General features: G+C 39.1%; 1 protein-coding gene across 7 annotated transcripts in view, besides 3 other annotated features; it reads left to right on the forward strand.

The window, feature by feature from the left end:
- The window catches only part of PRDM2 (PR/SET domain 2), a 124,892-nt gene that overhangs the window by 13,927 nt on the left and 85,329 nt on the right, over window positions 1-25,636 (forward strand). For 4 of the 7 annotated variants that reach the window (NM_001393986.1, NM_001135610.2, NM_012231.5 and 1 more), the window contains exons 2-4: window positions 1,427-1,500; window positions 16,886-17,003; window positions 18,665-18,768. In NM_001393986.1, coding sequence (NP_001380915.1) covers window positions 1,492-1,500; window positions 16,886-17,003; window positions 18,665-18,768 — 231 coding nt within the window. In that variant the 5' untranslated portion in view covers window positions 1,427-1,491. Of the gene's footprint in view, window positions 1-1,426; window positions 1,501-3,211; window positions 3,312-16,885; window positions 17,004-18,664; window positions 18,769-25,636 lie in introns of those variants that run through there. The other 3 variants (XM_047429994.1, XM_047429995.1, XM_047429996.1) reach the window with 2 other exon arrangements.
- Window positions 16,657-16,966: an enhancer, noted in NCBI's record as "active region_217". NCBI's record gives its function as "activates an Ori minimal core promoter by ATAC-STARR-seq in GM12878 lymphoblastoid cells {active_cell/tissue: GM12878}" and the evidence as "EXISTENCE:reporter gene assay evidence [ECO:0000049][PMID:35858748]".
- Window positions 17,027-17,086: an enhancer, noted in NCBI's record as "active region_218". NCBI's record gives its function as "activates an Ori minimal core promoter by ATAC-STARR-seq in GM12878 lymphoblastoid cells {active_cell/tissue: GM12878}" and the evidence as "EXISTENCE:reporter gene assay evidence [ECO:0000049][PMID:35858748]".
- Window positions 17,307-17,396: an enhancer, noted in NCBI's record as "active region_219". NCBI's record gives its function as "activates an Ori minimal core promoter by ATAC-STARR-seq in GM12878 lymphoblastoid cells {active_cell/tissue: GM12878}" and the evidence as "EXISTENCE:reporter gene assay evidence [ECO:0000049][PMID:35858748]".

Raw genomic sequence — 25,636 nt, forward strand, 5'->3', positions numbered from 1 at the left:
TGCCTTGGCCTCCCAAAGTGCTGGGATTACAGGCATGAGCCACTGTGCCCGGCCCAAAATATACATTTTTAACTTGATAACAATCTTATGTCTTAGAGAAGAGGGTTGATTATGTTCAATATGTGATGTTTACTAAGGCAGGACATGTAAATATAGATGAGAAAGATGCTCAGTATTAAAATGTAAAGGAATGGACTTCATGGTTTAACTTGCAATTCTCTGGCTTTTTTTTTTTTTTTCCTGAGTACTTGCTTACCAAGAGTTTATATTGGTTTGGCTAGCAGTGAGCTGTCTAACAAGATGCAATCTCATGGAATACATCCTTATGCCAATTATGAATAAAAGTAGTTCAGACGGCCAGGCCCTAACTTAAATATAGTGCCTTTGGTGGTTAAGGGTGATCAGGTGAGTGGTTAAATAGATCAAGAAAAGGAAAGAAAAATCCAACTACCTTATTAAAAAACAAGGGTAAAATGTCAAAACAGTGGGTAGGCAGTAGGAAGAATGTCACTAAATTATGTATTCTTTGGGTTATTAACAATTAGAACATAATGTTACAATGTAAGCAGAGGCTTGTGGGTCAAGGAAGGAAAGATAAGTTATAAGCAAGTGCATAAAGAAATAGGAGAATTATGCCTAATGGTATGTGTATGTAAACGTGGGAAATGTTTAGAACCTTACAGTGGAAGTTCTACTTAAAGTGTCATGATTTAATTTATTATGAATTACATCAAATGACTCAAGGCATACGTTGCAGAAAGGACCATTTTCAGAGATTATTATTTAGAAACAAGTATGTCATACGCATTTACAAGAAATAATTTTGTCTTTTTATTTTACTATACTATGAATACATGGAACATGGGTTTTTAAAGGGACAATGTAGCTGTTTCCCAACATCTTTTATTAAAACATTTGCATTTTACTGCCAGTTTTTTGTTCTTTTCCTCAGAGAGAACTCCTGGTGGCCAATGTTAGTAAATTCAACTTTCTAATTCAGGAACTTGAAAAACAGAATAATGTAATGGGGTCTAATGGTGTTTACGTACAACACAGTATTGGTAAAAGAAAAAGACACTTATATTGCATAATAAGGTACTCAATAATGCTTTGTATTTCTATTAAGAAAGCTAATTTATTTCTTCTTAGGAATGATGCAGTTCCAAAGCAAAGATTTGATGTCCTCCTAATGAGTCCGCTTTCAGTTGTAGAGTACAGTGAAGCCCTAGCAAAGAGTAGTAAGAAATCTATTTTACTGGAGATAATAAATCTGACAAGGAAGCTCTCAGCATAGATTGAAGTTGATTTGGCATAGAGTTGCTTTATAAATAGCCCTTTCAGCAAACTCTACAGTTCTGTATGTGGTTTTAAATCCCTGTAAATTTGTAGGCAGGTACATATTACAATTGTCTGTTTTTCTTTTTAGGGTTCATGTAATCAAAGAAGTTTCTTTGTTGTGTGTATCTTTACAGAACACAACAGGAATTGAAAATGAATCAGGTGAGTTTAAAAATCAGAATTTATACAAATACATGACCTAGATGTTAGACCAGCTCTTGATTTTTACAAGATAGTAGCACACACATTCATTTCTCCTGGATTCTCATTTTTGTTTCTTAATACCATTAATTAGTTCATTGTGTTCATACCGTGCATTTGTTCGTGCAGTGGAATGTGCATTGTTTGGGCGTGGGTTGGCGTTTCTGTGGTTCCCTGAGGAGAGGACTCATTCTTAGGGATTTTCATTAAGACTTTCTTTTTGACCTCTCCCTTGCCACACTCTAGTGTGAGTTTTTTGTGTGTGTTTGTTTTGAAGCTTATTAAGCTTTCATTTTTAGCGTTTTTTATTTTGTGATTATTTGTTGGTTAAAAGACACATGCACACGTATGTTTATTGCGGCATTATTCACAATAGCAAAGACTTGGAACCAACCCAAATGTCCAACAATGATAGAACTGGATTAAGAAAATGTGGCACATATACACCATGGAATACTATGCAGCCATAAAAAATGATGAGTTCATGTCCTTTGTAGGGACATGGATGAAATTGGAAATCATCATTCTCAGTAAACTATCGCAAGAACAAAAAACCAAACACCGCATATTCTTATTCATAGGTGGGAATTGAACAATGAGATCACATGGACACAGGAAGGGGAACATCACACTCTGGGGACTGTTGTGGGGTGGAGGGAGGGGGGAGGGATAGCATTGGGAGATATACCTAATGCTAGATGACGAGTTAGTGGGTGCAGCACACCAGCATGGCACATGTATACGTATGTAACTAACCTGCACAATGTGCACATGTACCCTAAAACTTAAAGTATAATAATAAAAAAATAAAAAAAAGAGAGGATTAAAAGTTATTTATAGAGACTGCAAATGATCAAAGAAGAAACTTTAAGCATTTGTCCTTGAAAAACCTGTTCTCAGAATAAAAACAAGAGGGCAAATATTGAAATGTAAGATGTGTTTCTCTTTACAGGAGATGTGGGATTACCTGGTGATTAAATTATTCTGCTATGGATATTTTCATAGCTTCAAGGGTGTTCTGATAAGTAGAGCCAGTTATGTGGATCTAATAATATATTCTAGAGTAGGATTCTTATTTTCTGGTTTCAATATCATCTCTCTTGTAGTTACAGAAATACGTGGGTGTCAGAAATGTTTTCTTTTTAAAATGTTCATAAGCACTTACTTTTAAAATATGAAGGACAAAACCCAAAATATGAAGTATGTAATTTTTTTTTTAGTCCTTAGCTTAAAACTCTCAGACTTGAAAACATTTTGTATCCCTCATCAACTGAAACTTTAGACACCTTTTTTTTCATGTACAGGTGACTCTACCTAGAGATCACAAGTTCAATTTAATTAGCTGGGCCAAGTTTAATACATTCAGTCCTGTGCTGCATTGAGAGATGTGAAATTTTTGGATTCTTTTGATTTCATTACTTTCTTTATCAGAAATGTTTATTTTAATGCAGAGGACATATGTCATAAAAAACGAATCTGGCGAACACATGGGGCACATGCTTTCTATTATTTTAAAACTTGCAGATTTATTGACATGCTTTTGAAGGCAAATTATTTTTGAAATGGTGAGATGGGGGAGGGAAAAGAGAACAGAGTGGATTTTCACAGTCATCGTCCATCAAAGTTATACTCATATATATTTCATAGATTTCATTTATTTTCCTATTTTAAGATTGATTCTTATTACGAACCTGGTCACCCAAAGGAGCTCGGTTCTCTGCAGTCTAGGAACTGTTTTGTTGGAGGAGTCTTGATCCTGCGTTAGAATGGTTGTGAGTTCTTCCAAAGTGGAATCTAAATGTTAATATTGTTCTTGTTGCATCGCTGTTCAGAAATCATTTATTTGATATGTCTACATCTTTAACCTTAGGATTAATTATGCCTTAATTCTTGTACAGTATTAGACTTGTAATATTTCTAGTGAATTAGACTTGACACTTCAAACTTTTGCTTTATATTTCCATTATATCAAACTTGTGTTTAAAAAAGTCTGCTTGCCAGTCAAAAAGTGGTAGCAATAACTACTACTTTTTTTTTTTTTGGCTCTTTTATAATTTCGTTTTGCTTTTGACAAGTTTTAATATCAGATCTGCAGAAGACCGCCTTTGATCCCAAATGCCAAGTATCAGTGGAAAAGTGTCCTCTTATGTTTCTAATGGTTAACACATTTCTGATTTGGGTGTAATTTAAATGGTCTGGTAGTAATGAAGCTTTTATTTGGATTATAAAAATTGCCCACTTTTTATGAGTAAAATTTTTAGCATCTTTTGTTATATTTTCATTACTAGAAGAATATTAGTTATATGCTGTTTAGACCCAATTGTTATGGCATAAAATCTATCAGTGTTTTTCAACAATCACCCCAGTCATTCTTCAGGGTTAAGACTTATTTCAGGATAATTTACAGTTTTCCCTTCTCGTATTTATTGCTGTCATTTTCAGACAGTGAAAATGAGCAGTAAATGCTTGAAAAACTGAAAAATAACCACACAACAAAATTCAGATATAAAAAAGTTTGAACTTGAAGAAGATTGACTTATAAATAAAATCCCGATGGTTATTTTAGGGTTAGGTTATTCTCCCCAGGAATGGATCAGCATTGCTTTGATGGGTTTTAATTGTCAGTTCTGTTTCTTATGATGGGTATGGTCTCAAAGACAATAGCATAGAATAATTTGTTGATATATGCCTGACAGTTGAGTTTCAGGGACTGCAGGATCCTCGTCATGGGCATATCATATTGTTTGTTATTGATTCCTTTAGAAGAAGCAGTAGAGTCCACAGCCTGCCAGTACTTTCAGCACTGACTATTGAGGCGGCATTCTGGACTGTTGCGCTCAGTTGTATCAGTGTGTTCCAAGTCGGTCCTAGTGTGATAGCTCCCTCTGAGCCCAGCTCTCACAAAGCTCCCCGACCTACATATTCTTTGCTTTCTTTCTCTTCCCTTCTGTTCTTCACTCAAAACTCACCCCTTTCTTAATATCTCTTAACCTCTCAATTAGAGCCCAGCTTGCTCTGCATGTGAGTCTTCGATCCTTCCGCTTGAGCCCATGCCTGGGTGGCAGCGAGAGCAGTAGTCATTGTGCCTCCTCCCCTGGCTCTCCATGCTCCCTTCTCTCCATTCTCAGATCGTAGGTATCCTACTTGCTTCATTAACGTTCCACACCCATCCTGATACTTAACTTTTGAGATGTTCCACTGTTTTCCTTCTTATTTTCCTAGACTTATCTAGGAATGGCTTTATCTCAGGAATGGTTCCATTATCTCAGTTGTCCCTAAAATTCATTCATTCCTTCCCTCATTCATCGTGGACAGACTGTATCCCAGCATGTTATGGGTTCTGCAGTGAACTAGGTGGGCAAGGGCTCTGCCAGTAACATACTCCAAGAGGGAGACAGTTAAAAAGCAGGAAGACAAGCAAGGTAATTTCAGATAGTGAAAAGTGCTGTGAAGACAATTAAACAAGATCTTGTTATAAAGGATGATGGGTAGAGGTGAAAGAAGGTCTTTGGATTACATGGTCAGAGAAGGCTACTCTGTGGAGGTGATTGCTAGTAGAACTGAAACTTAGGTAATAACCAGGAACCAGATAGACACATGAAGATCTGGAAAAAGAAAATTCCAGGCAGAGTGAACACACAGTAGTACAAAGACCCTGAAGTGGAAATGAGCTTGGTAGTTCATGAAACGGAGAGCAAGCTATGGTCTGGAGCTTGGCCCTATCAGGGGCTCTGGGATAAGAGGACATTGGTGTGAGAGGCAAGTTTTATAGGGCCTTTAGGGCTACGGGACAGTGACACAAGCTGATTTTCATTTTTAGGATGTCCTCCCCACTGTGCTATGGAGACTGGATTGTAAGGGAGCAAGAGTGTGGTGATAACGTGTGTTCACTACTGAGATTAACACCATGCTTTAGGACAGTTTCTTCAGTTGGACGACTTAATGGACCTGACAGCTTTTTGAAAGAGGGTACTTTTTTGTATTTCAGAACTAATTTGACTCCTGTTCTTTTTAAAAAATGGTGTATAAGCATTTCTTGGTTTGTGTTTTCATCTGTTTATTGTTATAGCAGTCCTGCTCATTTCTTAACCAAATAATTTAATGCCATTTCAGTAAACTGAAGCTTGTTTGATTTTTTTTTTCCCATCGTTTGTTCCAGCATAGTAGCTTAGATTCTTGTTTGCAAATCTATACAAAGATGGGTTCGTAGAATTTTAGCGATTTTAATATGGTATGATTCTAAGCTGTTTTTTGCTTGTAACAGTTACTTTGGTGATTATTATTAGTCTATTGTAGCAATAATATATATTTTAGTATGAATATACTATGAATTGTTCTTAATATTAAGGAAAATTGGTCTAATCTATTCCGTCATGTATTGCTGCCACTTTCCAGTTAGTTTTGATCAAGTCAATATTTGAAACTAGGTGCTTTAATTAAATAGATTAAACTGATATAATACTTGCTGATAATTCTCTGGGCAAAGCATGTAAAAGGAGTTACTTATATAAATTTAAATGAGACGCTAATAAAATTTGCTTATTCTTATATACTTTTAAAAATAAAAACATTAGTATGTGTTGACCATGTAAGATGGTACATGCAGCTTTATGTAACAGCAGCCAATGCCAATGTTATGCTGTAGAGCAGAGTTACCTTGCTGATTACAGTCAATGTTTGTCTAAAGAGTATGGAGAGAAGGGCTGGGTAGGGAGAGTGGAGGAGGTTGGTTCTGTGGTTCATGTACCTGGAGCAGACCTGAGGAGGGTGGAGTAAATGGTCAAAGAAGTGTGGGCTCAGCTCTGGGGTCGCCAGAAGGACAGAGTAGACTTTGCCAGTGAGGTGGGGAACCTTTGGAGGGTTTTGAGGAGAGGGCTGTTAGAGTTGAGTTAAAAAATTCTTAATAAATACAAATAATGAAACTATTCTACAGGGCAGAATCAGGACTTGGTTACTGGTTGAAAATAATAATAATAAAAAATAGTAACTTACCGTGTTTCATATATGTCAGGCACTAGCCTAAGTGCTTTCCGTTCAGTAAGTCATTTACTATTGATTGCAACCACATGGGGTGGGCACCATTACTATCCCTATTTAACAGATAAGAAAGTGAATACAATCGGAAATATTTTCTTGGTGCATTAAAGTTTCATTTTAACATGATTTAAAGATGAGAATTTAGGATTTATTGACCTGTTTAGTTATTTGACTTTAAAAATCAACTTTGAGGTATAAGCTGCATACAGTAAAAGGTAACTGTTTTAACTGTATAGTACAAGTTTCACACCCGTGTAACTATCACTGCTGTCGAGTCATAGGACATGTCTGTCACCCCAAAAAGTTCTTTTCTACTGCTCTGAAGTTAGTCTTTCCCTGCCCAAGGTCACTACTGATCGGCTTTCTGTTCCTACACATTGGTTTTTCCTATTCTGGGGTTTCATAGGAGTGGAATACATATAGTCCTTGCCCTTTGCTGTTTGTCTCATTTTGGTCTTTATACTGTTTCTGAGATTCAGCCATATTGTTGCATGTATCAGTAGTTCATTTCTTTACGGGAGCTGTTTTATGGGAGACCATCTGACCATGTAGATATGTCTATTCATAATCTTAATTCCAAAGAGTTAGCGAAACCCTGGGATGGCTTTCTATCTTTCATCTTAGTTATCTCTCCCCCTTTTTTCTAATTCTAAAAATATATATGATATAAAAAGTTGAAACCACTTTCACTGTTTTATCATATTATTAATATAGAAGTATATTTTTTATAGATAATTATAAATATGAATCTGATTTTTTCACTTTAAAAAAAGACTTCTAAGTAAGGTGGTTGCTATCTGTTTTGACTTAAACCTCAACTAATAAATGTGTAGTTTAGGAAATTAGCATGTTGAATGAATAGTGGTAGCCCTTGAAATCTCATTTTGAATCATGTATTCTACTAGATAAATTAGCAAATTTTAGAAAATCTGGGACCTTGTCTTTCTGAATGAAAATATTATTTGTGAAATTCAAAAAAAAATTAACAACCTGAATAGCATTTCCTTAAGTCAGTGGAATGAGCTTGTGGCAAGAAGCCTTTCCTCTTATGTTAGGATAGTAACACTTCGGCAGAGAAAAAAGCTGTGGGACTGTTTTTCTCTGCCTCTCCTTTGATGCCCTCTAACTCACTCTCCTTGGTCAGTTCTGGCAATGTCATTCCAGCTGTGTGACCTTGGGCAAGTCCTCGGCTTATTTGTGTTCACTTTCTTATCTGTTAAATGGGGACAGTAATGGTGCCTACCCCGTGTGGTTGCAGTCAATAGTAAATGAGTTTATAGATGTAAAGCCCTTAGGCTAGTGCCTGACATAGGAAACACCGTAAATTATTATTTATTACTGTTATTTTTCAGCCGGTAACCATGTCCTGATTCTGTCCTGTAAAATAGTTTAATTACTATTACTGCTTGAATTCAGACCCAAACATCCCTTCTCTGGGCTATTACAGAAAGCTCCTGATTGATTTCCTCGCCAACGTTTTCCTCCCTATGGGACCATTCTCCATAGGCCTTACAGAACATGCAGCTCACCATCTGGGAAATCAGAAAAGCCAGCGGTCGTTGCGAGTTGTTGGGAATGTTTTCGTGGAGGAGCTGGGATTTGAACTTGACCTGGAAGGATGTGGAGGATATTGATCGTCAGAAGAATTGAGGGCCAGGTGAAAGTCTAAATTGAGAAAGGCCCAGAGTAGCAAGGGGACCTAATGTGGTGAGGGTAGGAGGGGCCAGAGGGTGTGCCAGGAACCCAGATGCCTGTAGGGGCCAGGGATGACCTGTAAGAGTAAAATGGGGATTTTTCTGTGATTTCTTCCAATAGAATTTTTTTTTTTAAATCCATGGGTAGACCGAACAAACCCCATCTGAGATGAAAGGCTGTAGCCCACAGTTTGTTGCTTTGGATGAAGATAGTTTGAGAAGTTAAAACTCAGTCTCACCAGTAACAGCCTCAGTGGGAGGCAGTAGAAAGCTCCTTCTCCTGCTTACCAATCCCCTGTCCCCACCCTCACCCATTCCCATTCTGTATTAGAATCTTCTGGACAAGAGGAGGGGATGAGCCCTCAGGTGACTTATTTTCTTTGCTTCTCTTGAACGTTGACAGTCTCTAAAGCCAGCAGACCAATGACTAGATTTTATTTAGAAAGTTTAAAAAGCGTTTTGAATCAGATACTTTGTAGACTGCTTATTCAAGAAGACAAAAGGTTCAGAGAAGTTGAATGTAGAGTAGCCTAGATGCCAGAAAGCCTCACCCCATCTCGTCACTCTCCTGCCCAAACCCTCTTGTGTCATCCCACCGCTCTCTGAATTGAGTCCAGCTCTTTGCCCTGCCTTGGTTTTGCATGTTCCAGTGGTGGCTGCCTCTGCTTTCTTCCCGTCTCTATTCTGGTGCAGCCGCGGTGGCCTCTTTTTATTCCTGAACAGCCCAGGCCCCTTCTCTCCTTGGCATGTTTGCCTGGACTGCTCAGTTCTTAATACATGACTCATTTTCATCTCTCAAGTCCAAGTCCCTGTGTGACATCTTCTCTGAGAGGCCTCCCCCTGCCATCCTAACTAAAGCACTGCACTGTCCCCTCCTTATCTCTCCTACATCACTCTTTAGGTCACTGAGACGTTGAACACCCCTAGTCTGCCACATTAGCTTGGGGTGCAGGTGGGCAGGACCTGCCCCTTCTCTTGGTTGCTGCGTTCCCCAGGTAGCGCTGCTCCAGCACATGGACACTTGCTGCTAATATGTGCAGGATGATTGGAGATTCCTGAATAACTTCAGGTTGGAAGATGTCAGTGGCAATGGGAACTGGAGAAAGGAATTGGACGTGACAGATTTTGAAGGATCAGCAGCAGGGTTTGGCTCTGTTGACCACCCTCACTTCCTGGAGTCTTCCCCAGCTTTGGTGATGCCATGTGCTTGGTGCCTCTTTGGCTCTGCGATGACTTCTAGGACTGGGACTCATTTGCTGTGCTTCTTCTTCCGTTTCATTCTTTGATAAGGGCATTCTGAGGGCTTTGTTTTCGGCTGTTCTCTCCTCTGCTTTCCATCGAGGATTCTCATCCACTTCCATGGACTCCATGGCCAGCTGGGGCTGTACTGCTCTTACAGCCATCTCTCTGTGCCCAGACCTCTGGGCAGTTGATTGCCAGGCATTTGTTTGCCCGTTCGCAGTGACCACTGCTCTGAGCTGGGCACTCTGTGCCAGGCTGTATCGAGGCGAGTAAGCACAGCCTGCCTGTCTACAGCCCTAAACTTGCCTCTCTGGAGAGGTGATTAACCAAGCCAACCAGGAAGGGCTTTCACAATACACAGGGCACACTGTTGCAAGTTGTGGAGAGTGTTGTAACAGAGCCATAGGGGAAATCCTACTAGGTTAGGATAGTGGGGACTAGCTTCTAGGAGGCTAAAGTGTTCTCTGGGTAGAGCCCAGGCCTGGAATACAAATGCAAATTGGCCCCTTTTGGTAACCTCACCTTGCTGGGGTCTCAGCTTCACCACCCTGGGGTTTAAAGTATTGGGAACTTTTCTTCTGCTTTTTTCTCCATTCCCTGCAGGAGCCTAAACGGGCATTGACAGTAAGTTGTTGTGTTTATTAATACTCTGAAGCCATTGCAACTTATCTCAGTTTATTCTGGTATATTTTGCTTTTTCTCCTTTAGAGATTAGCAGTGAAACCCTTCAAATGATAAAGACTCTTGTGCCTGTTTGGGGAAAGCAAATGTCACAGCCATGTTTTGTCCCTAACTTTGCATACTTGACACTGCTCACACTCTTTTCACATGTACATTGATGTAGAAAGTTATAGAAATTCCTTTTCATGGCTTTTTTTTTTTTTTTTTTGAGACAGGCTCACTCTGTCCCCAGGCTGGAGTGCAGTGGCACGATCTCGGCTCACTGCAACCTCCGCCTCTCAGGTTCAAGCGATTCTCCTGCCTCAGCCTCCCGAGTAGCTGAGACTACAGGCAGGCACCACCATACTCAGCTAATTTTTGTATTTTTAGTAGAGACGGGGTTTCACCATGTTGGCCAGGATGGTCTCGATCTCCTGACCTCGTGATCCACCCATCTCAACCTCCCAAAGTTCATGGCTTATTTTTAAGGGAAAATGTATAAAACAAAGTATGGAAGAAAAAGATATTGCAGGGCATAAAGGGAGAAAAAGGAAGGAGGAGGAAGAGGGGAGAAAGCTTATAGTTGTAACGCTTGTAGTTTTTAATGTTAACAGTTGTACTCAGGAAGTGGGGGAGGTGCCCAGGAAGGGGAGAACGTAGGACATGAATGTTTGGATTAAGCCCCCCTGCCTCCCTCCACTCTTGTAGGTTTGGTCTCTAGGAGTCGGTCCTGTCTTCTTAGCCCTGAGAGGGGAGGTACGATGGAAGACTGGAGGCGGTCTTAGTGCAGTAGCAGCTTGAGCTTTTTGATGATGTTTGTTGTATCTATGGATGTTTACCATATTGGAAATTATAACAAAGTATTTTGAAATAGTTATAGATCCACATGAAGTTATAAGAATAGTGTAGAGAGTCCTATGTACTCTATTTATTTTTGAGAAGGAGTCTTGCTCTATCCCCCGGGCTGGAGTGCAGTGGCATAACCTCGGCTCACTGCAACTTCCGCCTCCCGGGTTCAAGTGATTCACCTGCCTTAGCCTCCTGAGTAGCTGGGATTACAGGTGTGCGCCACCACGCCCAGCTAGTTTTTGTTTTTTTAGTAGAGATAGGTTTTTACCATGTTGGCCAGGTTGGTCTTGAACTCCTGACCTCAAGTGATCTGCCTGCCTCGGCCTCCCAAAGTGCTGGGATTACAGGCATGAGCCACTGCGCCCGGCCCAAGTCCTGTGTACTCTTTACCCAGCCTTTTCTAGCAGTAACATCTTACAAAGCTTTAGTACAATATGAAAGCTAGGAAATTGATTTGGTATAATAATGCTAGTTAGACTACAGGCCTTATTCATAAATCAGAAAAATTTAAAACATAAGATTAAACAATCACACATTTCATAAGCCACCAGAATGATGACATTTTCACACATGATAGCCTCCAGAAAACTCCACTCTACACATCTGAGAGTGAAAAAGGCAGACAACATCTTAGTGTTGTTATAGCAATAGCTCTGACCTTGTGGGCCCCAGAAAGGGAATTCTCAGGTGTCCACGGACTGTGAGGTATGAGACCCCACTGGGTTGGTGGTTAGAATGTAGACTCTGGAATCTGTCTGGATTTTATCTTGGCTCCACTACTTCAAAACTATGTAGCTTGGGAAAGTTACTCAGCAGGGCTGCTCTGTGGCATAGTATTTGAGAATCCAGACCCTGAAGCGAGATTGTCTGGATTGAAATTACCTAGCTCTGCCACCTGCTGGCTGGGACTATGGGCAAAGTTTAGTTTCATCTGTAACGTGGAGATCATAGAAGTGCCTATAGCAATTGGTAGTGTGCAGATTAAATGAGGTGATAAGTGCTCACAGTTGTATCTGACACATCTTGAACGCTCCATCTGTGTTAGTTGTGATTGTTACTGTTGTGATGATTAAATGAGGTAATGCATGTAAAGTGCTTAGCACAGATCTTGGCTCAGAGGATGGAATAAATGTTATATTCCCTAAGCTCCTCACCCCGTCCAGCATGGAAAGGTCATCCTGGGTCAGAGAAAATGTATCAGGAAAGCAGTAGAAGGGCCCTTCAGAGGCTCCCCAGCAAGGTCAAAACTCGTGAATCAAAATCTGTCCAAGGTTTCTTGTCTCAGGGAGCAGGAACAGAGAAGTTCTTCCTCTAGCCAGTGGGCTTCATGAGGAGGGGGTCCTAGCATGGTGCTAGCTCTGAGCAGACACTCAGGGAGTATGTGTTAATGACTGACGGATGGGCTGAATGAAGGAGAGACGCTTTGGCGATTAATTGGGGGAAGAGAAGCGGGTAGTGACTTTCTTTGAGTTTGAGGTAGGAAGTTGGAAACATCGAATTAATGAGATCAATTAATAGTTAATAACTAAATGACATTAAATTGACTTAAATTTAACATGTTAAATTTAATACATACTGTTCCAGATCTGTTCATTGATACATGTTTAAAGACTGTACTTCATTAAGCAGTCAAATAATGAGTCCTCATTGAGGTCAGCTAATAGGGAAGCAGAGAAGTTCTTTAGCTTCTTTCATATCACAGTGATCAGTGTTAAAAACCCATGAGACAGGAACATACTTCTATTCAGGGGCAGCAAGGACAGGGCGTACTGGGAGACGCCAGCAGCTGGGGTGCCTTGCGGAGCTTGCGATCTGCTCTCTGCTCTCTGCTTGATGACTTCTATTCTGCTTATTCTGGGTAGACAAGCGAATGGCGATGAGTGTTTCTCAGAGACCTTACCCCTGCCTGCCCCTCCTGCCTCAGTTCTAGCTGCTTCTCCTACCTTCTCTGCTCTGGACACATGGGTCTTTTTGCCTGGATACTGCGTTTCCTCTTAATTTGAGATTTGGTCCTGGCTGTTTTCTTTTCCTGACATGTTTCCCCAATATTGTCACAGATTCCCTTTCTACTTCTAGAGAGGCCTCAGCATTCTGTCTGAACAGGCATCTCCATCCCTACTCCATGACTGTGTTCCTTTTTTTTTTGAGACGGTCTGTCAGCCAGGCTGGAGTGCAGTGGCACGATCTCGGCTCATTGCAACCTCCACCTTCCGGGCTCAAGCAATTCTCTTGCTTCAGCCTCCTGAGTAGCTGGGATTACAGGCATGAGCCACCACGCCCAGCTAATTTTTGTATTTTAAGTAGAGACGGGGTTTCACCATCTTGGCCAGGCTGGTCTCGAACTCCTGACCTCAGGTAATCTGCCCGCCTTGACCTTCCAAAGTGCTGGGATTACAGGCGTGAGCCACCACGCCTCGCGTTCCCCTCTTTTTTTTCATTCGCCACTGATCGGAAGGCATGTGTCCCCTTTTTTGTGCTTGAGTTTTCTACAGGGCATCAGCCATTGTATGTATGTGTTTAATTTTGTCTCTATTTCTTACCAGAGTGATGCCGTGTTGAGGCAAGCGTGCTGCCTAGAACATTGCCTGGCCTGTAGCAGGGATTTGGAAATATAGAAATAAATAAATAGAGTAGATGGTGCAACTTATTTTAGACAAGATCAATCTGGGAAATAGTGCCAGGATCAAATTGTGATTCTTTAGTATAAGAATCAAGATGAACCTGTTTAGATATGATATTACATCTTATCCTGTCAGGATATGTACCAAGAAGAGATCCCAGTTTATGAGTATGTGGGGGAGAGAATTTTTTGAAAACATTCCTTTGTTCCTAAGGTTCACTTGTACATTGGTTGCTTGGAATTAATGGCATACCACATTTTCTAAAAAAGGATTCTTATATTGATCCAGAAGAATACCTACCTCAATTTCAAGAAATTCAGGCACATGTGGAGGAGATACTTCCTGATAGATGACCCAGCTCTTTCATTTATTTCTATCCCTCCTTTTTAAAAAAAGCTTTAAGTTAGCTTACAAAGAGCCATGTACTCATTCAAGTATTTAAGTGACAACAAACATTTGAAATCTACTGCTAAGCTGGGGGAACACAACACTGAATAAGATAGACACCATCTGTCTTCACTGCAGTCTCACAGAGGAGGCACACAGTAAACACACAGCTATACAAATAAGCATTTAAAATTGTGGTAAGAGCTGTGAAGGAGAACCAAGGAAGAAAAGAGGGTGGTTCTATTTCAGAAGTCCAGCCCATGAATCTACCTTCTACTTCTCAAATCATTGATTTTCTAGAAATGTTCTAGGCAGTTTGCAGCCATAGCCACGGCCATGGAGAGTCCAGCGGGGCTGTGGGGAAGAAGGGAGGGAGGGCCCTGGGGCTGCCCAGCGTCTGGGTTGTGCTGCTGTGAACTGAGGTGCTCTGTTGTAGTTTGGTCTTTTTGTAATGTGAAGGATACGACAATAACAGAAAAAGCTTTCCTCTGCTGGGTGTATGAGTCCAAAAGGAAAAACCAATGGGTCTAGTGGGACAAGATGTGGAATAAAGGAGTAATTTAAAAGAAAAAAAAGACAAAAAATAATGGGTTGACTTAAAACAGATAAACAAATACATAGGATTTTTTGGTATTTCTTTTTCCCATGGCTTCTCTGCTGAGGTCCTTCATGTTCTCGGGCGCTTCAGAAATTTTAATACATGTGATCTCTAACTTGTACTCAAGTTACACATTTCTTGTGGGAGTGACCATTCCTGCCTTAAGCACCATCTCCTGCTGACATTTCCATGGAAATCTGGAAGTTTTAGGTCAGAGGTTCTTAGATGATATTCCAGCAGAATCTTAAGTGAAAACTCCTTGATGATTAGGACTGACTATAGGCACTCGAATCAGACAGATATTCAGATCCAGGCTTTGAGCCCTTTAAGCAATGTCTCTAAGCTCTAATTCCCTGCTCTGTGTGGAGAGGGGGAGACACTGATAATACCTGTCTCTTGGACTATTTGGAGTACATTCTACCCAGCATGTAAGACAGCACAGTGCCTTGAGCGAGGAAGTTCTCAGTAAATACGAAGTTGTCATTAGAATTACTGTGAAAGTGCCTGGAAGTATCCGTTTAGGTTAGCAGACATGGTGACTTTTCAAAGCGGCTGTGCTCCTGGGGAGGATAAATGGTGCTGAGTGTTTGCCTAGGGTCCCAGCTGAGACGGAAGAAGAAAATCCCCTTTTACTTTACTAAATGGCCAGTGCTGATAGGACATCACTCTGGCTAATATTTGTTAATGTCACTTACTTTATCAGTGTTATGAAATAATCATTATGTAGCTTAGGATGCCAATGCCAACTACCAGTGTAATACCTTTTCCCTCTTTGGAAATAAATTGTTCACATTTCCAAAAATCCAGCTTATAGATTAAGAATTTAAAAATGGGGACACTATATTTAGAAGTGAAAAATGTCTATGGTTAATTTATTCACACTTTAGCTAATTAAAAATACCATAAGACCATTTTCTGGGGCTAATTGGCTATCTTATGTTTTGGAAAATGTTTCAGGGATATTGTTGGGACAAAGGTGTAAATCAAGCAGGAACAAAGCATTTGTGTGTCTGAAATGGAGGCTCAGTTGGCTCGGCTCTGCACGAGAGACAAACCTGTCTCTAGATGCCCTCTCTTGGGCTCTCGAGCTTGAAGCAGGCCAGAGAGTAGATGACCATGTTTATAATGACTGTGAGATTTATTTCTCTTGAAGTAGACTGTTGATAATTAATAAGCCAAAAATTGAAATGCTGAGAGTATGCCAGTTTGGATGATATTCTTTTCTTGGTACATATATTCTTGAAGACGACAAGAGCTTCCTGGTTGTGGGAAAAATTAATCTTTTTTGTTTGGGGTTTACTTTTGCCTGTGTTGGTTCATTTAAAAGTCCTGGAGAAGTGTTTCCCTGTGCAGTGAAATGAAACACACTCAGACTACAAAGCCTATCATTCTTAGCAGTGCCGTGATGTGCACATCAGCTCCGTAGGATATATGGTGTACTGGTTACTAGACCCTTGGTGTTCCTTTGATTTGAAAGTTAATGAGAAAATAACAGTCATATTCTCCCAGTTGGCTCAAATCTCTCCCTTCCTTACATACATATCTAATAGTAATCTTTTCTTAAGATTATGATGAATTCCAGCCTAAACTTTGATAAATAATTTAAAAAAATTCTCTGTTTCTTAGCAACTCTGTGATATCCTGGTGACTTTGCTGTTTAGTGACTTGGTAAACAGTGGTAAATTACTGTTTCCTGGAAAGGTGGCACTTGCAGTAAGGGACCACAATAAGTTGTCGTGTTTTGGGGTGGAATATTCAAGCCCCATCCAGTTAGGGGTTGTTGCTGGAGGGCAACATGGATGGGGCAGGGTTGGAGGGCCCCAGTAGCCTTTGTGGTGTGTGCTGAAAGCATTCATTGAAGTGGGCAGTGTTGGTTTTTATTTTTTAAATGTGCTAAGGTACTGATGGTAGCCTTTGATTTAGAAGTAAGCTTATGCTATATTTTGCTGCCAGATTCTATTTGTGTTTAAAGCAGTATGGTGGCAGAGATTATCATATTTTGGAAATGGCCACAGGTGGCTGGAACAAAATAGAGTAACACAGACATGCTTGAAGGTTGCAGTGGTTTCCTTTGGACAGTTACAAACAAGCATCAAAGCAGCTCCTCAAATGCTTGACATCATCGTTTTGGTCTGTCTTGCCAGCTTCAGGTTTCGGTTACATTTTTGCATACTTGCTTATTGAACCAGAAAAAAAAAAAAACCCATGATTTGAGTTTTCTTTCTTTTGCTGTGATCCTTCCATTTCTTGACTTGCAGAACACTACTGAGCCTGTGGCGGCCACCGAGACCCTGGCTGAGGTACCCGAACATGTGCTGCGAGGACTTCCGGAGGAAGTGAGGCTTTTCCCTTCTGCTGTTGACAAGACCCGGATTGGTGAGTGCTCCTCCTGTCACGGAGCAAGTCAGGCAGTAAAGAGCAGGTGGCAGTGAGGCTTCCTGCAGGGGCATGTCAGGTAGGGAGCGCACCATAAAAGCAGCAATTTACCCTTGACTTAGAAGATTATATGGTGTTGATGCATTTTCTAGTCAAGAATCCAGGTTGGACATGGGTTGTAAAAATAAAACCAGGAACACACAAACAGACACACACACAAACACACACACACACACGTAGGTCCCATCCCTCTTGCCTGAGTGTCCTCCTCCTCTGAGTCTCCCTGCTGAGCCTCACCCCACAGAACGTGTTGTTCCCTTCTCTCTGATTTCACCATGAGGAGCATGATTGTACCATTATATTCACTTCATTGTTTTGTAATATTTTTACACTTGGCTCTGTTATTGCTTGTGAGTGCCTTTATTTCTTATGTATCTTTGTGCCTCCAGTACCAGATACTTTGTGGACCCTCAGTAGATACTTGAATGAATGACATGCTGTGAGTGTATCTAAATTCTTCTGGCTGGGATTTCTCCTTGAACACAAACCAGGCGCGTGTGTGTTTGGTTTTTATGTGGCCTAATCTTTAGACAGAAGCTAAGGAAGTAAATTGTAAAACTTTAGTCAAAATACAGTCTTGGAATATATCATATTTATATCCCTGTTTCTTTTTTTTAGATGTACTTCCGATATCCCAATTTATATGTACATATGTATGAAAAAATTTTAATACATGCTTTTAAAAATTCTCATTGGAAACTTATTCATTGAGCAGTTTGAACATATTGTTCAAATGAAAGTGGTTGATTTTATAGCTCAACTGATTGTTGACTTACATAGCGGACTTACAGAGAAGTGGAATTTGTACATCCTAGCAGGATAGGACTGGCCCAGCCTTTACCCCCCATTCTGTATATGAGGAAACTGAAGCCAAAAGGTGAGGGAACCGATCTAAAGTGATGCTGTTGACTGCTGGGCCAGACTCCTGCCATTTTACTGTCTGCTTGCTCATTATATCGCTTTCCGTTATGGTCAGTGCATAGTAAATAGAAACAACCCTAAGAATACTGTGGATGAACAGCTATTTTGGCTGTTAGAAACTCTGAAAAGTGAGCCGTTCCAGTAGCTAAGTTTTCAGGAAGCTTAGTTAGGCAGGAAAGGGTTTTCTACTTTAAAGCAAATGAACTTCAAAACTATTTATTCATAAAACTATATTTCTAACCCTTTATAAGAACAAGTCATGTTCATTAGAGACAATTTGAACTTTATAAACAAGCAGACAGAGGAGTTCAAAAATCAGTTGTAGTTTCACTCCATTCCAATATTTTTTCTCTTCAGTTGTTGTGACTGTGTTATTCAAGTATTTGTGATCCTACTGTACGGGTAGTGTTACATGTAAAACATTTTAAAAGTATATAAAACATTTTTTTCTAATCGTAAAACAATATAGGTTCTTTATAGAACAGAAGAGTATAAAGAAGAAAAATAAAAATCCCCATTGAGGACTTGACTTAATTTAACTTGATCTCAGGCTATTTTAACATTAGCTTGATTTAGGCAGTCTAGCCTTTTAACTGTTTTGTGAAACTTAAGCGATTTTAATGGTTTCAATCTTTAAAATAACCATGATACATTATAAAAATACTGATTTTATTTTCTAGGTGTCTGGGCCACTAAACCAATTTTAAAAGGCAAAAAATTTGGGCCATTTGTTGGTGATAAGAAAAAAAGATCTCAGGTTAAGAATAATGTATACATGTGGGAGGTAAGAAGTAATTCTGATTCTTTGTTTTTCAGAGTTTTATGAAATAATTATTCTGTTCTCTCAGAATTTGACATTTTGAATTTAAAACAATCATTTTAATGTGTTCTTTAAAGTCAAGAATATTTTTATTAAAGAGAAAATGTGTTTCCCTGGATACAGACTGCTATTTATATATGCTTTTGTATTTTGAAACTGCTTGGCTGTCCTCAACAATAAATGTCAAATCCATGTTTTACATTGCCGTGTCCAGGGTGTTTTGCTTTGCAACTAAGACCGTGACTTCCTGTTTGATGGTTTGTCACTTCACAGGCCGCCACATAAACCCCATAAAAGACACTCTATGGTGGCTGCAAAGAAAGCACTGTTAGGTTCTTCTCTATATTTTAGAAAGTAATTTCTATGTTGCTAGGATATTCAGTTGGATATATTTAGCATATGGCACATATATAGAGCTTGTAATTTTTCAGGAGTTTTTCATCTATTAATTTCATGTTTTCCCAGCAATTCTGGAAGACAGCAGGGCATCTGCACACTCCTTTGAGAGGAGAAGCAGTCAGGAGACAGAGCTGAGCTCTCCTTCCCTGGGGGGCTCCACCCGGGAGGCCTGTAGATGCAGAACTAGAATGCATCTCTCCTGCCTCACTGGGAGGCAGTTAAGGTTTTCATTGCATTGCCTGAGTTCAAATCCTACCTCTAGCTTCGTGACTTGCAGCAGGGGACATAGCCTCTGGGCTAGAAAACCCTCAATTAAAAAAATAGAGATAGAAGATATCTCCTAGGATAGTTGTGAAGATAAAATTTGTCGTTGTTGCTTTTGTTGTTCCCTGGGGTATTGCGTAGGAATTCAGCATTTGTGATGAATTTAGTTCAAGTCAGTGCCCCCTGGAAGCCCCCCTGAGTTCTTAAAGGAGCTCCATGGTGTGACTCCTTTTCAAAACAAGTTAAGTTTTTGGATGATGAGAAAAAGCATTCCTGTCAGATTGTCTGAAACTGAATCACATCTGTTTTTTCACACATTAACATAGAAAAGCCTAAAAATAAAGTATGGCTAGGAAGTGTGTGGACACTTTTCATCAAGAAGTTCTGTGGCATTTGTATGGTTGAAGTATGCTGCTATTTTTCTTTATGCTCTAAGCTGTTTCCCAACTTGAAAAATCTGACAGTTTCTCCCAATAATTTTGAGTTATTTGTTTCTTATGAATTTGTTATAATGTATCTTCTGACTATTAACGGGGGGTGTCTTAGGAAATGAGGATTTACCACAAGAGTCATTGCATTCTGTTATTTCACCACTTTTGAGGTGTAAGAGTTCTGTATTTGTAGAAAAACTGCCCGGCCAAAAAATGTGAATTACTAAAGATAATGCCTGCATGATTAAAAATGTCTTGACCACAAAATTATGCTCCCAAATAAACTGCATTTTTAATTTTAGATGTTTCCCAAGGGAAACTAACAAATTGGCTCACCAGGTTTAACACTACGTTTAGTGAGAATAATGTCAAGGAACCAGAAACTGCTTTCTCTAGTGCTGTGTTTATAACACTAATCTTGAACAAATGCCATCAATATTAAACTTAAGTTAGTAGTACCTATTTTATCCCATGTAACAACTTGATGTTGTTGGGCATATTGTATAATTTATTAATAGTGCTTTTTGTACATTAAGCTTCATTTGCATTGAGATTCATACATAGTATGACTTGATAGTTGTTGAAAATTTGGAACCATGACTTATTAGAATTTCTTCTATAAACCTGTTAACATCCCATTGTTAATGTAAGATACTTCTTATATACTGTACTACTAGAGTTTGCAAATCTTTGATAAGAATCCTAGTTCTTATCAAGGGTGCCTTTTGTCTTCCTGCAATTAAAAAAAATCTCATTCAAGTAGTTCTGACTACAAAATATACATCTGATATAGAAACCTGTAAGCCTTTTGCTCTGTTAAAATAAAAGTGAATAGATATGACATACATGTGTAAGTATGTATATGGCAAAGGAAGTATCAATTATAATGTAAATATTTCTTAGAAGAAAATGACATTGAGGTAAGACTTAGTAGTTTCCTACTAACTTATTCCAACTCTGCTCTTACCCTCAGACCTGCATCAGAATGCCTTGTATTAATGTAACAGAAATGGCTTATCATCAGAATCTCATCTTGGCATTTGTTCTTCCATCAAAGCCCCTAAGACCAGCTTATCTTTTAGCAGCAGGGTCTTAGACCCCAGCCAGAATTCCATTTTAAAGCTAATCTAAGACAAAGTGTTAAATTGCTCTCCTTGAGCCCTTGATTATCTAACCCAGTCTTAAGTCCTCTAAGCTTTCACTGAAAACATTCTGTTAAATCAGAAATAACAGGAGAGAAACAGTAGAGTATCCTCAGGGTGAATGCACAAAATAGGTTCTCACAAGAAGAGAGCGTTCTTCGATGAGTTTCTGGCAGGGAGCCGCTAGCTAGCTGGCGCTCGGGACTTGGTGTTTTCGTTCTCTTGACTCTCCCCATCCGCACTGAGTAATCTGCCATATTTTAAAACCACCTCTGATAAAAGCCTTTTAGATGTACTTTTATGGGATTCAAATTGCTTCTAATTAACAGAACTTTAGAATTGCTTGGGTAAGAATTATTTTAGTAAGCTTTTTTTTTCTTTTCTTCTTTTTCTTTCAAATACACTTAGTTGTTTTTGGAGCAGTTTTAGGTTCATGGCAAAATTGAGCAGACAGTACAGATAGTTCCCAAATACTCGCTGTCCCCACACATGCACTGCCTTCCCCATTATCAACATCCTACAGCAGAGCGGGGCATTGGTCAGCCCATGAACCTGCACTGACATATCATTATTACCCAAAGTCCATAGTTTACATTAGCGGTCACTGTTTCTGTTATATGTTCTAATAAAGCTTTTAAAATTTAAAATTAATACATGCTCACTGCAACATAATAGAAACAACACAGAAAAATATATACAAGAACATAAAAATCATTGAAACTCCTATCATCCAGGCGCAACCACTGTGAACATCTTCCTGAACATTCTTTTAACTCCCTGCTTAGCTGCTTCTCTATTTTCAGCCTCACACATACACTGGTACATTTACAACCTATATGTAGAAATTGATTCAATTGAGATCAAACAGCACATGCAGTTTTTAATGCTTTTTTTTTCTTTCAGTATCTTGTGGACATATCTATGTCTACTACTTATTTACGTTATTGTTTGTTTCTTTTCTTTTTTTTTTTTTTTTTGAGACAAGGTCTTGCTCTGTCACCCAGGCTGAAATGCAGTGGCATGTTCACAGCTCATCCTCTGCCTCCTGGGCCCAAGTGATCTTCCTGCCTCAGCCTCCCGAGTAGCTGGGACAGGCCTGTGCCACTATGCCACTATGTCCAGCTAATTTTTGTATTTTTGGTAGAGATGGGGTTTCACCATGTTGCCCAGGCTGGTCTTGAACTCAGGGGCTCATGGGCTCAAGCGATCTGCCCGTCTCAGCCTTCCAAAGTGCTGGGGTTACAGGTGCGAGCCACTGCACCTGGCTTATTTACATCATTATTCCTATGCCTACCCACAATTTCATTGTATACCATTCATGATTTATTTAACTAAGCCTTATGTTGGACATTTAAATTGTTTTAATGTTTTTATGATTATAAATAATTTTTCAAAGTATAAAACTCATTGTATATAAATATGTGTTGACTTGTCTGATTATTTCCTTAAGATGAATTTCTAGAAGTATAAATGTTGTCAAAAAGTTATATACATTTTAACTTTTTATAAATTTTGCCAAACATTTTCTCTCCAGAAGGACTGTACTATTAATTATTTATACAACCACCAAGAGTATATGTTTCTTGCCAGCCTTTTAAAATCCAGTATTGTTAATCTTTTTAATATTAAATTGTTAAAAATATCTATTTTTGTAGAGGAAAACCAGTGGTCACTGCTTCTATTAATATTTACATTTTATTCATTCAGGCAACAAATTTTGAGGTCAGGAGAATAGAGGGAAGAAGTAGAATTGCATGTCAGTTAAAATTGATAGAGAAATTGTCTCTGTATAATGAGAAGACTTTAATGTAATTTTTAAAAGATATATAAACTTTTTTATCAGTCAGCGCTGCTATGATTAAATATTAACAGGTGAGTTTTATAGTCTTCGCTATCTCAGTTCTTCTGATTTCAAATTATTTGTAAGTTAAAATTGCAGGCAAGAAGAGAAGTCAACCAGCTGATTCTGCAGAACCTTTTCTCAGAAAGTACTTTTCAGCTCTCAGTGCTGCTTTCTAGCAGTAGGGAAAGGTTTAGATCACCAGGGAAATCCAACCTGCCACCTGTTTATTACAGCGCTGGAGCTAAGAATGGTTTTTACATTTTTAAAGGGTTGGAAAAATAAAAATGTTTTGTGACATATGCAAATTATATGAAATTCGAATTTCAGTTCATGAGTAAAGTTTTACTGGAACACAGCTCTGGTCATTCATTTAAATATTATCTATGGCTTCTTTTGCCCCATAATCACAGAGTTGAGCAGTGGTGATGGAGACCATATGGCCTGCAAAACTGCAAATATTTGTGTGTGGCCCTTTACAGAAAGTTTGCTGAGCCCTGGTCTTGATGTGTAGGGAAGAGTAGCAGTAGGAGTGAATGTGGTGATGTCTGGTTTCAGGTTTGCTGAGAAGCTGAGTGGTTAATAGCAGTGCATAGGTTTTGAATGAAGTAATTAAAGGTGTGGGATGGCTGTAGAATTGGTTGTCATAGAAACAGATGAGCCAATTACATTCCTCTTCTCTCAGGAACTGTAGGACAGACAAGGACATTGAAGTACAGAGAATTAAGTGATCTTTTTGAACAGGTTTACTTGTACTCAGATTGGCAGCTTGGTCTGGTGTAAAAAAAAAAACTCTCTTTGGGAGTTTATTTATTCATTCATTTAACCCCTATTAAGCTTTTAGCACATACCAGGCACTGTCTTAAGTTCTTGAACACCATGCTTGGCATAAAATGTTTGTGGTGTTATAAACTACTGGTAATACCTCATGGAAATTTTTATTTGTGGAATAAAGATATACTAGAAGTGACCTAGATCTTTCCACAGGCAAGAAATCTGAGTTCTATGTGGCTTCATGAAGTTCCTAACAAATCTGTTAGGAACTTACCCTCATTTAAAAGTAGGAATAAAGAAAAAAAAAGATGATCTCACTTTGGTAAAAAAGTGTTTCAGTGAAAGCCTTTTTTAAATAAGGGCCTTTTTAAAAATAATATTGTTAGAATATTAGTCCTGGAATCAGGCCAGGAGCCCATTTCTTGGTTGCTTATTCAGTCTTCTTCCTGTTAGCAAAGCCCAGAGACTCTTACACTTTTTTTGTGTTGTGGACCCTTTTGAGAATCTCCCCCGAAAGTACACAAATGCACATATGTGCACAAAATTTTGCATGTTACTTATACGGTTATATGGGATTCTTAAACATCTGTGGTTCATAGATAGAATTTCTGATTTAAGAGTGAAAATAAATTATTTGTCCAGTGGCCGTTCACTGGGGGTCTACTGTGAACCAGTCAACATTTGTTGTGCATTTGTTGCTGGGAGATTTTCCAGAAACATTTGTGTAGTTGTAGTATAAAATCTAGTTAGTCTAATTTTAAGAGAGGGTCTGTTAGTGCGGCTTCAAGGGCTCGAGAGGCCAAGCTATTTATTTTTTAAACTTGTATTTTAGTATCTCTATAAAAGTAACCTATGTTTTGGGAAATGTCCTCTGACAAGTGGGCTTATTGAAATAAAATGTGCTATCACCTGTTAGATTCTCTTTTATTTCCTTATTCTAGAATTTTCAGAACATTTTAGAATACAGTGATGTATTAGAATAGTTCTTAAAAGAAGTCTCTGATCTCCTAAAGTAATCTGAGGAGTGAAGTAGTTGATACTGAAGACCCGTTTTTGTCTGTAGTCACCAGAAATTTAATTCTGTAGGATGTCAGTTTTATAATCTTCAACAAACCCTTCAGGTATCTAATTCTGTAACTGAAACACAACTGGAATTTGAACATACCAAGAAGGTATAGTATTTTCTCGGTAGCAATGTCAATAAAATCCTTTATTTAAAAAAAAAAAGGCTTTCATTGAAACACTTTTTTACCAAATTGAGATTATCTTTTTTTTCTTTATTCCTTTTTTTTTTCTGAGACAGAGTCTTGCTCTGTCGCCCAGGCTGGAGTGCAGTGACGCGATCTTGGCTCACTGCAAGCTCTGCCTCCCGTGTTCACGCCATTCTCCTGCCTCAGCCTCCCCAGTAGCTGGGACTTCTGGCACCCGCCACCACGCCCGGCTAATTTTTTTGTATTTTTAGTAGAGATGGGGTTTCACCGTGTTAGCCAGGATGGTCTCAATCTCCTGACCTCATGATTCCTCCCGTCTCGGCCTCCCAGAGTGCTGGGATTACAGGCGTGAACCACCGTGCCTGGCCTATAAATGCTTTATTCAATCATCAACGTATTGTGAATGCCTTTATGCTGATCAATGTATTTCCACAACATCTGGTTATCTTTGCTGTCTTCTAATTACAGAAATAATGCATGTTTATTGGAAAAAATTTTCAAGTATATAGGTATATCTAACAGGAAATAAATCGTGCCATATAATCTAATTAATCATTTGCACCACAGTACTTTTTAGTGTCTAAGGTTTCAGCTATATGGATGGACCATAATTTACTGAGTTAATTCCATATTGTTTTCCATTTAGCCATGAATTGGAAGCAATTTACAGTAAACCACACTTCTGTGAACATTTTTGTATATACATCTGGGTACAATTGTCCAATGATCTCATTAGAATGAATTCCTACAAGTGTATGTGCTGGTTAGTCT

This window comes from Homo sapiens, chromosome 1 (genome assembly GCF_000001405.40).
Source record: "Homo sapiens chromosome 1, GRCh38.p14 Primary Assembly".
Taxonomy (NCBI): domain Eukaryota; kingdom Metazoa; phylum Chordata; class Mammalia; order Primates; family Hominidae; genus Homo; species Homo sapiens.